The sequence below is a fragment of the Homo sapiens genome, chromosome 2, assembly GCF_000001405.40.
Source record: "Homo sapiens chromosome 2, GRCh38.p14 Primary Assembly".
Lineage (NCBI taxonomy): Eukaryota > Metazoa > Chordata > Mammalia > Primates > Hominidae > Homo > Homo sapiens.
The window spans coordinates 238,999,574-239,016,500 of NC_000002.12; the positions used below are offsets into that span (position 1 = coordinate 238,999,574).

Sequence of the window (16,927 nt, forward strand, 5' to 3'; positions counted from 1 at the left end):
GCTGCTTTAGAGTGTGCTTGTGGAGCAGAGCTTTCCTGCCAGGTCAGGCCAGAGGCCACTGGGCAGTCTGCCAAGAGTGGCCTGGGGTCAGTTTCCTACCCTGGTCCATCCAGTTGGCTGTGGCCAGCATGACTCAATTACAGAGGCAGCCTCCTCAGAAGGCAGAGTGGGGCTGCGGTAGGAACAGAGACAAAAGCAACGGATGCCAATTTCCCCCAATAGTCTCTCTTTTTTTTTTTTTTTTTTTGAGACAGGGCCTCGCTCTACCACCCAGGCTGGAGTATAGTGGTGCAATCAAGACTCACTGCAGCCTGGACCTCCCAGGCTTAAGCAATTCTCCTGCCTCAGTCTCCTAAGTAGCTGGGACCACAGACACAAAAAATAATTTTTTTTTTTATTTTTCATAGAGATGAGGTCTCACCACGTTGCCCAGGCTGGTCTCGAACTCCTGAGTTCAAGCAATCCTCCTGCCTCGGCCTTCCAAAGTGTTGGGATTACAGGTGTGAGCTACTGAGCCCGGCCACCCCTGATAATTTTTGATGCCTCCCCATCTTGTCCCAAATGACCCTCAGTATCAGCAGAAGGAACAGGTGTCAGTGCGTTCAGGCTGCTGTAATGAAATGCCATGACCCGGATGGCTCCTGAACAGTGAGATCTGTCTCTCGCAGCTGCGGAGGCTGCGAAATCCAAGAGCCAGGCAGATGCAGTGTCTGGTGAGGGCTACTTCCTGGTTCACAGATGGTGCCTTCTTGCTGTGCCCTCACATGGTGGAAGGGGCAAGGGAGCTCTCTGGGGCCTCTTTTTTAAGGGCACTGATCCCATTTCTGAGGACTCTGCCCCCATGACCTCATCACTTCCTAAAGGCCCCTTCTCCTAATACCATCACCCTGGAGGTGAGGATTTCAACCTATCAATTTTGGAGGGACACAAATGTTCGGCCCATAGCAAATAGAAATTGCAGACAACCTCCCGAGGTGCTGAGTCCACATTGGTGAAAAAACTTACTTGTGCATAAAATGTTTGTTCCTTACATGCACGCAAGCTTACGGTGATGGCCTGGCTTGTTTGTCAAGGCTTGGTGTTTCTGCGCAGCACAGGGCGGGCTGTCGCTGGTTGCCCTGATTTGCATTCCCCTCCCCGTAGTGAGAAGATCCAGTCCTCACCACTGAGCTCAGGAGGGCTTCTCGGCCAGGGAAGTGTGGGCCAAGTCATGTGGGACACTTCCCATCAGAAACACAGAGAGCCAGCCTGTGGTTCTGGAAGTCTCCCTGCCCTCTTTGCATGAGCCTGGCAATGTCCCAGGTGGAGCCGCTCCTGTCCAGGACGTTAGGGAGCAGAGCCACAGCCCATGGGTGGTGGAGTGAGAAGTCGCCCTGTAGTTGTAAGCCCTGAGAATTGGATTGTTCCCACAGTCCTTAGAGGCTGTGAAGGTTTTTGCCATAAATCTAGCTTGTTTCTTATTGATACACCCTCTTCTTTTTATCTGTATTTGCTGTGTGTTCCTGTTTTTCATCCTTTAAAAAAAAAAAAAAACTGGCAGGGCGAGGTGGCTCACGCCTATAATCCCAACACTTTGGGAAGCTGAGGTGGGCGGATCACCTGAGGTCAGGAGTTCGAGACCAGCCTGGCCAACATGGTGACACCCCATCTCTACTAAAAATACAAAAATTATGGTGGTGCATGCCTATAATCCCAGCTACTCAGCAGGCTGAGGTAGGAGAATCACTTGAGCCCAGGAGGTGGAGGTTGCAGTGAGCCAAGATTGTGCCACTGGACTCCAACCTGGATGACAGGGTGAGACTCTCTCAGAAAAACAAAACAAAACAAAAACAAAGTCTCTGCCTTGTTTTATGTGTCTCTTTGTGAGCAGCATCTAGCTGAATTTGGGGGATGAAGGTTTAATCCTGTAGTCTCCGGTTTTTGTACATGAGTTTAATCCCTTTACAGTTATAGTTAATACTAAAGTAATTAAAATTGTTTCTATTATTGTATGTGATATTTCATTTGCCATGATTTTTGTTTGCTTTCTTTTATCTTTTCTGCCTTTTCTAAGCATGATAACATTTTTGGATTTTTCTTTTCCCCCCAAGATGGTTTGGCAGCTGTAGATTTTTGTTTCTATTCTTGACAGTGACTATCCTTCATTTTTAGTCTACATTCGGCACTCTGGGTTTTTTCTAATGAAATCTAAAGTATCTACGTCCTTTTTCTAAACAAGGAACGTTATTTCCTGTATCTTGCCCTATCTTTGTTATTGTTATTGTTTATAAATGCACAAAGGTGAAGTGTTTTTACAGCGAGCAGGTACTTTATGGACACATTTGACCAGCAGCATGCAGAGATGGGGTTTATGTTTGGTCGACTTGCTCACAGTGGCTTCCGGCCCGAGGGTTGTGTCATTCCTGGGCTTGGGACCCTTCTTGGCGTTGTCTGTTCAATCTCACTCCCCCACCTGATGCTCCTCTTTCCCGGACCTCCTCCAAGACGGGCCAGAGTTGCCCGGCCAACTCTGCCAGTCTCTTGCCTGCTCTTTTGTGGTGATTTTCTTTTGAAATCTCAGTTGCTGTGTGATGCGTTCTTGGAGAATTCCTTACGTCCGTCTTCCGTTTCACCCGAGATCTGTTTGCCTGAATTTGCTGAGGATTTTATTGCATTTGCTGGTTTCCTTTTTATTTCAATGAGCATCTTTTTAATTTTCAGGTTTACTAATTAGATATTTTCCATTTCCATCAGTTCTGATCCTTTTCATTTCTGCCAAGTTTTGTGTATAGCCAATTACTCTTTTTAGGCTATTTCTTGTCTTTCCTCTTTAAGATGCTAAAAAACTTACTTTAAGGTCATTTTCCTGTTGCTGTGGTTCTCCCCCGTGTCCCTCTCCACACTCCTCCTTCTCTCCCTGTCCACGCCTCTCACATACACTCAACCCTGTCTGCCCTGAGGGTTTGCATCGGTCTTCGCCCAGCCTCCAGGGATGCCCTCCGTGAACCAGGTTTCATGTCCCACAGAGCATCGGCTAAATCACAAATAGAGTAATGGCATTGGTGGTGCCTTACCTGGGTCCTGGACAGGAGGCTGCTTCCTCTCACCTCCTGGTCCTTGAATCTGTGGAAGCTAAAGCCCGAGAAGCACTCAGCTGGAATTTTCTTTCTGTTCCCTCTCTGGGGTGGGGGTCTCTCTGTGCAGTCAGCTGGCCTCTGCTCCCAACCGTGGGGGCTGCACCAGGTGCCAGCACTTCCCCGACATTGGTTCCGGACCGGAAGCCCCATCTCAGACCCCACCCACGGGTTTTGTTCTGTCTGTTTTTGGTGTCTGTGATGCTTGGCTTGTTTTGTTGAAATATGTTTTCTCTAATGCTGCTGCGTATTCGGAGCAGAGAAGAGGCCTCAGTGCATGAACTTGTAGGGCCGTGCTGTCCAGAAATCCGGAAGTTTCATTTCTTTGTTTACATAAATCAACTTAAACCCAACTTGGAGCCCCACCCTGTGGGGCTGGCAGAAAATGCAACTCTCTCCCCTCCTAGAGTCCCTCCAGGATCCAGAAGCTTCCATGGTGCCCAGAAGAGCTGAAGGGCTGGGAGCTGTCACCACTGCCTCAGTGCCACTCGCACGCAAGTCCCGCTGCCCTCAGGCTGATGGCTGTTCCTCCACCCTGCCCGATGCCTGGGGATCCTTGCCGGGGATGAGAGCCTCAGGGCACAACATGGGCAGCCGTGTGCGCTCCACCCTCCCAGGCTGTGCCTTGGAGCTGTGCTCAGACCTCAGGTCCTTGGGGACACCAGCCTCCTCCTTTTCCCAGCCTCAGTGAATCTTGCCCTCTCCCTCCCACTCGCCTCCTGGGTTTGGGTTTTTATGAAATGGGTTTAGGTTTTTACAAAAGACAGAAAGAGCCTTTGGCTTTGAGCTGCTTTGGCGTTCTGCCTGGAAAAAAAATCCCCGAGGCAAAAAAATTACAAAGAGCCGGGTGATCTGCTTGAAATTGGATGAGGGGGAGAAATAAGAAAGCAAAACAAAGATTAATATCTCCACCCACCCCCTCAAAGTGTATTCCATCACACATCCCATTAAGAGCTGGCGAATGAATGGGCTGCCATTCTGAGAAGGGCCAATTCTTGGGGGAAACAGCTGGCAGTCACCACGTCCAGAAGCCGGCGATGTGGGGGCAACTGAGGCAGGGGCCACGGCCCAGCCAGTCGAGCAGAACTGGAAGGATCACAGCCCAGCCCCGGCTCGGAATGGCCCCTCGGCAACCACCCTGAGTTACCGACAAAATGCCGACGGACTGTTTCAAACTTGTATTCTCTTAAGCACGTTGGGAGAGTATGTTTCTGTGGTTTAGAACGCTTACTATCAAAAGAGCATTTTGAACATAATTTTGTCCCTTAAAGAGGTAAGCTTCAATTACTTGAGAACTTCATGGAAGCCTCGCATTTTGCAGCAATGCCGGGTCCGTGCGTACCATCGTCTGTCCTGGTTGTGTCTCTGTGTTCTCCATGTGAGAGGGCGGGGAGGGCCGACCAGGGCTGTTGAGGCTCAGGTTCCTCGCGAACTCTGCAGGGACTCCTGGGCACGCCACTCCCCTTTTGCCCCCCATGGCATTTATCTGTAAAGTAAGAGTTCTGCTGGGTTAAATGGCGCCACCTCCAAAAGATATGTCCAACAGGAACATCAGAGTGTGCCCCTAGTTGGCCCAAGGGCCATGTCATTAAGATAAGAATCTCGAGATAAGATCATTCTGGTTTAGGGTAAGCCCTAAACCCAATGCCAGGAGTCCTTAGAAGAGAAGAGAAGGGGAGAAGACACAGAGCCACGGGGAAGGAGGCCACGTGGAGACAGAGGCAGAGGTTAGAGTGATGCATCCAGCAGCCAGGCTTCCCCGCACCTGCCAGGAGCTGCAGAGAGCCCCGGAGAGATTCCCACTCACAGCCGCAGAAGAAACCAGCCCTGCCGCCGTGATGTAGGACTTCCGGCCTCCAGAACTGTGGGAGGACACATTTCTGTTGTTTGAAGCCACCCAGTTTGGGGTCATTTTTTATGACACCCCTAGGAAACTAATTCAGGAGGTTAAACTAAATCATTTCGAAGCCTCCTCAGAAATCTCCAGGCTATGGTTAGGAAGCGGGGTCCTGAATGTGGAATCCCTCTGAAGAACACAGCACACATATTCCCGTCTCCATCGTCTCCCTTCTCTCTGGAATCCGGGCCGGCCGAGAGGAAGCTGCCCTTCCCAGGCTGCTGCACCAGAGGACTGGGGGCCTGCCAGTGAAGCTTACAAGAGAAATGGCTGTAGGATGCAAAGATAGTTAGCCTGGGAAAGAGGAGACGTCCAGGGCCGTGGTAAGTTGAAAGCTTCTCATTTGGAAAAGAGATTAATCTTATTTTCGGTATTTCCAGAGGCAGCCCTGCAAGAGGAGTCAGATCTCTTTTCTTATTTCTTTCTTTCTTTATTTAGAGATAGAGTCTTGCTCTGTCGCCCAGGCTGGAGTGCAGTGGCACGATCTGGGCTCACTGCAACCTCTGCCTCCCAGGTTCAAGCGATTCTCCTGCCTTGGCCCCCCGAGTAGCTGGGATTACAGGTGCCTGTCACTATGCTCGGCTAATTTTTTATTTTTAGTAGAGATAGGGTTTCACCATGTTGGCCAGGCTGGTCTCGAACTCCTGACCTCAAGTGATCCGCCTGCCTAGGCCTCGCAAAGTGCTGGGATTACAGGTGTGAGCCACTGCACCTGGCCAGGCTGGTCTCGAATTCCTGACCTCAAGTGATCCACCTGCCTTACCCTCGCAAAGTGCTGGGATTACAGGCGTGAGCCACCACGCCCGGCCCAGATTTCCTTTCAGTACAATTTCCTACAGGGAGAAGACTGCAGCCCTGGAAGGGCAGAACCTGCCTCTGCTGGTAGCTGTGCAGGCAGGTAAGGGTGAGAGAGGGTCACAGCCCTGTGGGTGTTTGGGCTGGACAACCTGAGACCCCTTTTAAATCTGAGTTTTTGAAAGTTCATTATTCCTTGGGCTTTTTAGATCTCACCAATACAATTTAATTCCACAAAATCAGAAATCTCCAGTGAGCAGGGCCCAGGAATCTGCATTCATGCAAAGAGCCGTTGTGTCTCAGGCAGTCTGGAGACTCAGGCTAGTGACTGAGTGTTCCCTCAGCTGAATACAACCCGACCACAGCCAGCTACAGCCCCAGGGCTTGACCCACTGGGGACACCCCAAGACCACCTGCCCTGGCTTGGGAGGAGCTCCCCTTCTCTGCTGCGGGGTTGGGTCCTTGCCCTATGCAAATGCCCTTGTTGGCTGCAGATGGATCAGCCTCTCTCTTCCCATTTCTGAATTTTGGCCAAGATTAATAATAGGAGATAATTTCTTAAAATGCCCTTTACTCCTCTTTCCATCTTTCCCTAAAACCCGCCTCCTTCTAGAAGCCCTTTCTAGCCGCTATTTTCTGTCTGTCTCCATTATTCTCTAACTTAGCAAGCAAGCCATTCCCTTAGTTTATTGAATTTATCAGCTGGGGTGAATGTGTTTGTTAGCTTACTTTTTAAACAAAATTTTTGTTTTGAATTGACACATAACAATTGTACATGTTTCTGGGGTTCACCGTGATGTTTCCATGCGTGCACACGTGGTATAATAATCAAATCAGGGTGGTTAGCATGTCAACCCCTCAGACCTTTATCATTTCTGTGTTGTGATAACATTGAGATCCTCTTTGCCAGCTCTCTTGAAATATATAATACATTCTTATTAACCCGCTGTGCCATAGCACACCAGGCCTGTTCTTCCTGTCTCACTGGAACTTTGCACCCATTGACCAAGCTCCTACCCCCGCCCATCCATCCTCTGGGAACCACTGTTCCACTCTCTATTTCTATGAGATCAACGTTTTTGGATTCCACATGCGGGTGAGATCATGCAGAATGTAACTGTCGGTGCCTGGCTTATTTCAGGTAACATGATGTCTTTGATCTGTCTCTTTCTCTCTCTCTACTCTAAGCTCCCTGGGAGCAGGGGCTGTCTTTCTCTTATCCATTCTCAAAGTCCCAGTCCTTAGCACAGGGTCCTGATGCACAGTAGGCGCTTATATCCACCAGTATTAGGTTCAGCAGCAAAGAACAGAGACCCCGAATTACCATTGACCCAACCACACAAGATTTTGTTCCCTCAAGCAGAAACTCCAAAGGTGGACAGTGCAGGTGGTGTGGGCAGCTCGGCTCCACACAGCCGACAGGGATCCAGGCCCCTTCCACTCTCTGCTCCACTGTCTCCCAGTGTTCTCGTAGTCTGAGATGGCTGCTTAGATCTAACCTATATATCCATATATCAGACAGCAGGAAGGAGGAGGGATGATTCGGGGCACAGCCACTTCCCTTTAGGGAAGCAGCACACAACACTTCCAGTTACATGCCATGAAGCGGATGTTAGTCATGTGGCCAACCATAGATACAGGAGAGTCTGGGAGGTATAGTTTTATTCCAGTCAGCCATGCACGGTGCTAGAAAGAGTTCCATTTCTAGGAAATAGGGGTGTGTCCAGCAGCCTCTGCAGTGGAGCTCAGTAATTATAACTTGAATAAATAGGTGACTCAGAGCTCAGCCCGAACTGGTAGAATCTTAGGTCACCTTTATTTGACAGGGAGGATGCCCTGCTATTTACGGGCATTGATCTTTCTGCCCATAAAAATGCTGCTGGCATTGCTTCAGTGACTCAGGGACATCAGACCAGCACCCAGGTGGATGGCAAATCCCTGGAGAACACAGACATCCTTCCCTTCCCTTCCATCATGTTCATTTGTCCCTCATTCCTCTTTCTGTCCCTGCAGCACCGGGCCCTCTGCCTTGCACACCGTGGGTTGAGCAAACGTTTGTTGCTGGTGATGATGGTGGAGGGAAGGATGGTGTTCTCCACAGGGTTTGTGAGGGGCACTCACCTGCCTTGAGTGTTTTCCAGATGGGCTTTCACAGTTCTCTAAAGTCCAGTATAAATACGGCGGGGAAATGGGGCAGGGCTGTTGCCATCTTCCAGTCGGGAAAGGACTGGCAATTGTCCTCATGGCAATGGTGCTCCGTTCATCACCAAATCAACGTGCAGAGCTCAGGGTGCAGACGGAATCATCGCCTTTCTTAATTATTTTTGGTTAATAAGGAAAACACGGGCTCCTGGGCCCTAGACAGACCCTCCTGAGTTGCAGAATGATCAATCTTTCATGGCTGTGCCTTCACCTTCATAGCAGTCACTTCTTCCTGCTTTGGATGAATCAAATCCTATTTTCAACCAGACTTATCAATGTGCCCTTAAGAGGATTTGAAACCCTGTCGCTACTGAAAAAAAAAAAATTAGCTGGGCATGGTGGTGAGCACCTGTAATCCCAGCTACTCAGGAGGCTGAGACAGGAAGAATTGCTTGAACCCGGGAGGTGGAGGTTGCAGTGAACCGAGATTGCACCATTGCACTCCAACCTGGGTGGCAGAGTGAGACAAAAAAAAAAAAAAAAGACAATTACTTATGTGCACCAAACACACACTCACTGTCTCTCTCAACCCATAACTCACTGCAGCCAGGTTCCTACTCACACCGCAGCCTCAGTTTCTCTTATGCTTCTGCCGTCCCCTGTGAAGACCACACCCAGCCACCCTGCAGCGTTTGTGCCCCTCCGCTGCTCCGAACGGCTGAGCCCCTCGGGATGCCTCCGAGTAGATGAAGCTTCCTCATGCCACTGCGTCCTTCCTCTCCATCCTCCTTCATCCGGAGGTCTCTGCTATGTCGTTTCTGGGTTTGCCATTTCATTAGAACTGTTTCTCCAGTGCTTTCCTAGATGAGGCACTTAGGTGATAAACTCACTGAGGTTTTATGTATCTTCAAATACCTTCTGCTCCTAACACTTCGACAATCTCTTTATTGAGAACAGGGGTTCCTGGGGTGCAGTCTTTTGCTCTTCCACTGCTTTTAGCTTGCAGTGTTGTAGATGAGAAGCCTGAGACCATTCTGATTGTTTTGCTTTTTTAGGTAACATATTCCTTTTGACTGAAAAATGGTTGACTTTTCTTTTTCCTCAATGCAGAAAGTACAGCACTTATAATTTTCCATTCCATTTTATTTAGTAAAATTTGTATACAATAAAATGGATCCATTTTAAAAAGTACATGTTTTGACATGTTTATACATCTATGTATTCATTAAAATTTCCATCACTATCCCAGTCAACTCGGTGGCCCCTGACAACGACTGGTCTGATTTCCATCACTATGGATGCAATTTGTTGTTTCTGGAGTGTCACACAAAGGGAAGAATACAGTGTGTATGCAGAGTTCGGAGGCTGTTACCATGACATAGCACAGAGGGCATCTTTTCTCATCAGCTGAACCTAGAACTCCGTGAGCCCTTCCATGCCTACTCTGCAGGCGTCCCCCAACTCAGGGGAGAGTTCCGATATGTAATGACTGCCCTTCCTCCATCTGTGATTTTCCGCGCTCCTGTAACTTGTTACTCTCAGATCAGATCTCCTGGGCCCGACCCCCAAGCCTCCTGCATTCCGTCGGCGTCGGCCTCTTTCCCGCTCTGCTGTGTCTGCCTAGCTGTTTCTCACCCTTTTCCTTCCTCGGGTCAGCGTCTGCATCAAGAGTGAGTCTTCAATCGTCTGCCGGATGTTTTCATGATGCGGGCCAATTTTGAAGCTCCTGGACTTCGTTCGCGCCCTGGAATTGGGATCTTCTCACGTGCCCTGTGGGTTTTGATCTCAGGTGTTCGTGGGCCTCCTCCCACGCTCCGTTTCGCTGGCCACGTGGGTGGACGGCTCCCTCTGACCTTCCTCACCTGACAATACCCAGGCGCTCCCTCCACCCCCTTCTATGCCCACCCGGCCAGATGGAACGTTCTTTTTTTCCCACCTTTGTCAGCAATTTGGGGCACAGGTCTATTGCTGCAATGTCCTTAATGCCCAACAGGTTAAAGACAACAATAACAACTAAGGGATCCGCCCCCACCCGCTTAAAGGTTCTCAGCCCCTCCGAGGCCCCTAAGGAACTCTCCTTGCCCTCCTCCCCTCAAGGACAGAGAAGACTCCACCCGCCCACTCGCCTCCCTCTGGGAGGTCACGTGGCCTTCACATCCCCTTCCTCAGACCAGCTTCCCGCTCACAGGGTCAGAGGCGGTGGCCCCTGAACCATCCAACCGCAGGGCCGGAGGCCTTGTGTCACTCAGCCAGTGGCCGCAGCAGTAACGTGGCTCTGCAGAGGAGCTGGAGAGGAGACGGGGACTCTCCAGGCCCAGGTGCGCCCTGGGCACCCTCCCAATCTTCCTCCTCACCACTGGGAGGATGTGGCACTCTCTTCTCTTACAATATACACATGGTTTCTATTTGCAGACTTTTCTAAGTGACCGGTGACTGACAGTCTATGCTATTTACAGATACCTTGTGGAAAAATAAACACAGTCTGCTCCTCAAGGTAAAGTTGGCATTTTAATAAAGAATGAGAAAATAGGGGGGATTTTTTTAAAGAAAATAATTCAGTGGAGATTGCACTTTAAAAACAGAGGCTTTAAAACATTTTCCACTGTTATATAATTTTGTGGCTTAAAACAATATTTGTCTTCTACAAAAATTCTTATATATGGACACTTTAAAAATTTAAGGACAGAATTTTTTTCAATCTGTTCGAAAATCTTCCAAATGAAGGATCCTAGTGAGTTTTAAATATGTTTGTTAAAAACTTTTAAATACAACTCCTCCCAATTAATTTGCAAGAGCAAATTATTAACATCAGGGAAGATGGGCACTGACTGGACAAAATTTGAACAAAATCTTTTGCATAATTGGTGGATGGAATTGAAAAGTTACAGCATATTTAATAAGTACAGCCTTCTTTTATTTGGATCTACATGACTTTGTAAGCAATTTCTTTCCAGCAGTGATTGTCATTAAAACCAAGTTACAAAATAAAATGAACTTAGACCTTTGGATTTTGGGGTTTTTATTTATTTATTTATTTTTTGAGACAGGATCTTGCTCTGTCGCCCAGGCTGTAGTGCAGTGGTGTGATCACAGCTCACTGCAGCCTCAACTTTCTGGGCTCAAGCAATCCTCCCACCTCAGCCTCCGAGTAGCTAGGACCACAGGTGTGTGCCACCGTGCCCAGCTAATTTTAAAATTTTTTGTAGAGATGGGGTTTCACCGTGTTGCCCAGGCTAGTCTCAAACTCCTGGGCTCAAGCGATCCTCCCACCTCTGCCTCCCAAAGTGCTGGGGTTGCAGGCATGAACCACCGTGCCCAGCCAGAAACAGACCTTTGAATCACTATGTCACAAACTATTAAAGCAGCCATAATAACACTGCTCACACTAATGGTAAATTTCTCTGGTTTGTGTTTTGTTTGTTTGATTTTCGGTGGTTTTTGTTGTTGTTGTTGTTTTTGTTTTGTTTTGTTTTTTGAGATGAAGTCTCTCACCCAGGCTGGAGTGCAGTAGCGTGGGCTCGGCTCACAGCAACCTCCTGTCTCCCAGGTTCAAGCAATTGTCCTGCCTCAGCCTCCCAAGTAGCTGGGACCACAGGTGCAAAAATTAGCCACCACACCTGGCTAATTTTTGTATTTTTAGTAGAGTTGGAGTTTCTCTATGTTGGCCAGGCTAGTCTTGAACTCCTGACCTCAAATGATCTGCCCACCTCTGCCTCCCAAACTGCTGGGACTACAGGTATGAGCCACGGCGCCCGGCCCTTTGGTCTGTGTTTTTCTAAAGTGCATTAGTACAGTAGTGCAGTAGTATACATATATCATAAACAAACACTGTGTGCTGGTATCAGTTTATTACCATTCAGCTCCAACTCTGCCCTCCTTGGACCTGCCCTGTGATGCGGGAGCTGGGCTGTGAATGTGGCTCCTTTGCAAGCTGGCAGCGCCAGGCTTCATCCATGGAGGGTACTGGGGGTGCTGTCAGGCATGGCAGAGGAAGGGGCCTATCTCCGGGTTCCACGTCCCTCCCAGCTTGTTCCTGCAGCACGGCAGCCGGCAAGGCATGGGACGCCCAGGACGTTCACCCCAGTGGGCATCAAGGGCACCACCATGTGGGTGGTTCCCCAGCAAGTTCCACTGGCCCCCACAGGACAGCTTCCCAGCGGGTTCCATTGGCATCCAGAGGGTGTCTTCCACAGGGATTTCAGCAGCTCCACTCCCGAGGTGGCCTCGCTGGGAGCTCTACAGTCACCCTGGTCCTGCTGCTGACCTGGCGAGCCGCTTCCCAGGGGAATTTCCAAGTACCCTAGAAGGCAGGCGCTCAGCTTCTGCCTGAGAGGTTGTAGCTGCTGCCCGTATCTCAGATTCCTGTACTCTCTAGGGTTCCTTAGGGCAAACTTTACCCTTTCAAATGACTCTGAGGCTCCTGTTGGAGCAGCTGCTTTGGAGGGACATGGATTTGTCTGGTTGCTTACTGGTGGGTTTCCTTAAGACGGGTTTCCTTTTTGTGCAATGTGTGATTTTTGTGTCAGAAAGTGGCTGGCCTCTTGCAGTGGTTTTGCCTTTAAATTGACATTCGTTATTATACCTTCAGCTCAGGAAAATGATCTTCAGTCATTTCTGATTGTTCATTGGGCCCAGCTGTTGCTCGCACTTCCCCACAGCGCCTCTTTCTGTGCAGCTTTAGCAGGAAGCGTGTGAGAGAGGGGCAGGCGCAGGTGCAGAGGATGGAGCCACGGACCGACTAGCCCATGGGCTCTTCCAGGGTCCACGTGAACTGATCTGGGCAGCAGGAGGGGAGTCGGGTTTAAGAGGAATGGATGGGGCTCAGGTAGCAAAGTCTCAGGGAAGACAGCGCTGCAGACCTGCCCCGGGGCAGCCAGAATCCAGGACCACCACCGGAGGCAGCTACTCACCAGCCTCCACCCAACAGCCATGGGCGCCAGGCCTCCCACACCCAAGCACAGCTTCCTCCAGGGCTTGAGAAGCAGCCAGAATGGAGGGGGCCACAGAGAAAGCTGCAACCCCCTCCAAAGACCATGCTAGGAACACCAGGAACCACTGTGGACCTGGTGCCCAGGCTGGTCCAGGGCCATCCTCCCTCCCAACTGTGGAGGAGAACAGGAAGACATAGACCAACCACTCCTGGCAAGGGTGAGTCGGATGCTGCTGGGTGCTGGTGGGTGCTGCTTGGTACTGCTGCATGCTGCTGGATACTGATGAGTGCTGCTGGGTACTATCATGTGCTGATGAATACTATTGGATACTGATGGGTGCTACTGGAGGCTGCTGGGTACTGCTGAGTGCTGATGGGTTCTGCTGGGTATATTGGGTACTTCTGGGTATGACTGGATACTATTGGGTACTGATGAGTACTGATGGGTGCTACTGGCTACTGATGGGTACTGCCAGGTGCTGCTGGGTACTGATGACTATTGCTGGGTACTGAGAGGTGCTGCTGGGTACTGATGGGTACTGTTGAGTACTGCTGGGTACTCCCAGGTGCTGCTGGTTACTGATGTGTACTGGTGAGTACTGCTAGGTACTCATGGGTATGGCTGGGTGCAGCCAAGTACTGCCAGTTGCCATTTTCTTTTGGTCCACGAGGTGATTTAAACAGTAACACACCTGCAGGGTATCAAGCTTGGCCCCAATAAAAGCAGTTCCGTTCCGTTGGCTGGGACCTGTCCTCTGCAGGCGTCCGGGTTGTCAGGCCCTGCATGCAGTGTCTTCTCAAGATGGCACATCTGAGCCATTAGCAAATGCACTGCAGACCATTATCTCCTAGGCCAGCACCCATGGCCTGGGAGGTGCTGGTGGATGTTCCCCCAAAATTGCGGAGGGTGGTAGGGGAGGCCAGAGACTTGGCCAAAAAAGTTTGGGAGATTCCTCAAGCTATGTCCCTGGGGGCTCACCCAGGCTCATCCCAGCACCCCAAATGTTCAGAGAAGCCTGCCTTGCTGCAGGGCCTGGGCTCGACTTCCGGGGCAATGCTCAGCCACGGTCAGGTCCAGGAATACAGAGTGATCCATCGAGGCCTCTCCCTGGGAGACAAGCTTGTGTCGGGGCACCCCTGTGCTAGCTGGAGGCCAGGACAGAAATTCTGTGTGCTATCCACCAGGCCACGCTGCCTGCCCTGGGGACGAGATGGCTCAGCTGCAGACACAGTTCTGAGACAGACCCTTTTATGCACCACCTCCTCCTAGGAGCACTTGTTCCAGCCAACACGCATCGTTAATCTCAAGTCATTGTAAGCAGCTCAGTGAAGGATTTCCACTTTTGGGATTCGGATGATTCATAAAAGTGACAGGACTCTCCCTTCCGAAGGAGAGTGACGCATTAAGAACTTGACTTATGGAAGCAAATCCAAACGTACATAATTTTTCTGCTAAAATTGGGATGGGGGAGGATTAGATATGACCTCAAAGTTGCTTCATTTTATTCCTCAAAAACAGACACTTATATGACTGATTTTAAAGCCCCTTTTTAAAAATAATGGGAAACTTATATGTATATAAAGTTCCAATGAAAAGCTTAAAAAAGGAAACTAAACAATTTGAATTTTCAGTGCTACAGGGATAGTAATACAAATTATGGGATCTCTGCAAAAAATGCTAGGCAGTCCTTAAAAATAATAAATATATTTACTAGACACAGGTAAAAAGCACTGTGAACGTGTTAAACACAAACATGAGATACACAGCACCAATGGCTCACATTTGCTGGGGAATCAGGAACTCCAGCCACGAAGGCAGGCGGCCCAGTGCGGACTCAGGCTCGGGCACCCTCCACCTTGCTATCTTGGGATGCTATTTAGACGGTGAGATTCCGAGTGAAACCTGCTTTAATTTCTTTTTATAATGGCTTAAATTCGATTTAATACCAAATGAGTGAATAAAGTAGGGTTTTTTTTTTTTAGAAATGGGAGTTGCTTCTGATTCTTCGGTAAAACAGGCTATTCTAAGTAGTTTTCCCCAAGGTCCACCCATGGACGAGCTCCTGGAGGGATCCAGGTGTGACCACTCCTCCCCAGGGAAGCCTGTGCTGGCTTTGTTAGGTCGCCCCCCAGCTCCCATACCAATGGGCACACCCTGCAGGGACCTGGGAGGGGTAGCAATGGGATTCACAGCCTTTTCCAGCCCAACCAAGGGAGCTGCCTACTTGTTCCACCCTCGCAGCCTGGGGGTTTCAGTCCATGTTCCATGGACCCTTACCCAGCCCATGCCTACCTCAGGGAGGACAATCCTAGTTGGGCAGGGGTGGGGCAAGGGCCCTTGGCTGCCAGCCCCCCATCCCCCTTAGCAGCCTGTGCACGTCATGCTTTTGTTCAGTCTCCTTTTTAAGGAATGGTTCCACCGCTGGGAGGAAATGATTTTTGAGATCTGTTGGTGTGGCTGGAAAAGCACTGAGCTTGGAGTCCAGGGACCCAGGTACAGCATGGCAGGGCCACCTGTGGCAGTGTGGCCAGGGCCTTGGCCCCTGCTGCCTGGAGACTGTGTTCTTCAGGAGGCAGGAGGAGGGGTTGCTGAGTGCTGTGAGCACAGACTCATGTGTGTGGGGGCGCTTGGCTAGAATCTACCTGAGGAACTCGGTGTGGGGGCAGCTTGGAGAAGTGGAGATGGGATGGGCATCTTTAAACACGAGTGGCAGACCCCTGGGAGGGAAAAGCTCTTGCTGTGTGGGGTGCCAAGGGGCAACACTGGTGGGCAGTACCAGAGAGGAGCCTTGTTTCCTATTAAACTGGGATCTCTGGCAACCGAGAGGTGCCTGGGGGTGCTGCAAGGCCCCCGTCAACAGGAGTCGGAAGCAGGGGTTCGCATTAGGAAGACAGAGGGACCCCTGCAGGACTTACCTCCTCCTGTGATGGGGGCGCACTCCAAAGCCCTGTCACTCTGCCTGTGTCACCGTGACAACCGTGGACCCACGGACCCATAGGGAGGAAAGATCCCCGAGGATTTGGGGCTGTGCCGGGCTCCTGCCACATATCGAGCAGACATCAAGGATGCTCTGCTGCTTCTTTAAAGGAAAATAGAGCTGGGAGCGTGGTGCCCCAGGGAGGGGTGCGGCTCACACGCACAAGAGGCCCTGGGTGGGGAGCACCATCCCCCTTTGCTCTCTGGCTCATGGCCCTGCAGGAGCTGGCTGGGAAGCCACGCCGGCCACCCTGCGTGGGGTGCACGGCCCCCTCCCTGGCAGGCAGCTGCAGCACACTCCCAGGTTGATGAGGATTTGTTAAAGTCGCACTATTTTTTTCCGCCTACTTTCTTCCCATGGACCTCCCTCTCCTCCTCGAAGTGAGAGTCCAGGGCCAGCGGGCTGAGCCCCTGCGGCCTTCTGCACAGCTGCCTCCAAGAGCCCCACATACACACCACATTCGTTCCGCCATATATGGCCTCCCGTGCCTTCCCTCGCCTCTCCCCCATCCTCTCTCTCTCCTAGGAGGAAATTTGGCCCTTGTCTTGACTGTCGCTTCTTCGCAAGGATGTCAGAAATCTGGCTGGAGATCCCGGCAGCCTCCCCCGTCCCCTGTCCCTGCCTACGCCGGCATTCCATCGCATCCCTGCGTCTGGCTTTATCTCCAGTGCTGAGCCCTGCGACCTCATGTTCTGGGCACCAGTGTCTGCTGGACTTAACAGCCTGCAAAGGAGGACCCTGGCCACGGATGTGTGGCTTGACCCAGAGCTTTGGCCACAGGAGGCATCCCTGCTCCCAGCACCCACCTCCTCCCATCTATCCATAGCCTTGCAAGATTCCTATCTAATCAGATACTGCCCTTTATCCCTCCAGAGCAATTGCATAGGACAGGACGCTGGAATCTGTTCATGTGTGATGTCATTGCTTGGTCAGCAGCCTCAGAGCCTGATAATTGCCAGTATTGATCCTGTAAACACTTCAGGACATCACAAAGGATCGAGGGAAGACCTTTTTAAATAGGTCAAGCAGTCCCTCTGCAGGAGGACCACCTCTGCAGGGCGGCTCCCGGAGG

The 16,927-nt window shown here is 50.6% G+C and overlaps 1 annotated feature.

The window, feature by feature from the left end:
- Positions 15,728-16,557: an enhancer, noted in NCBI's record as "H3K4me1 hESC enhancer chr2:239936997-239937826 (GRCh37/hg19 assembly coordinates)". NCBI's record gives its function as "activates a minimal SCP1, AML or CMV promoter by ChIP-STARR-seq in naive H9 embryonic stem cells {active_cell/tissue: H9 hESC(naive)}" and the evidence as "EXISTENCE:reporter gene assay evidence [ECO:0000049][PMID:30033119]".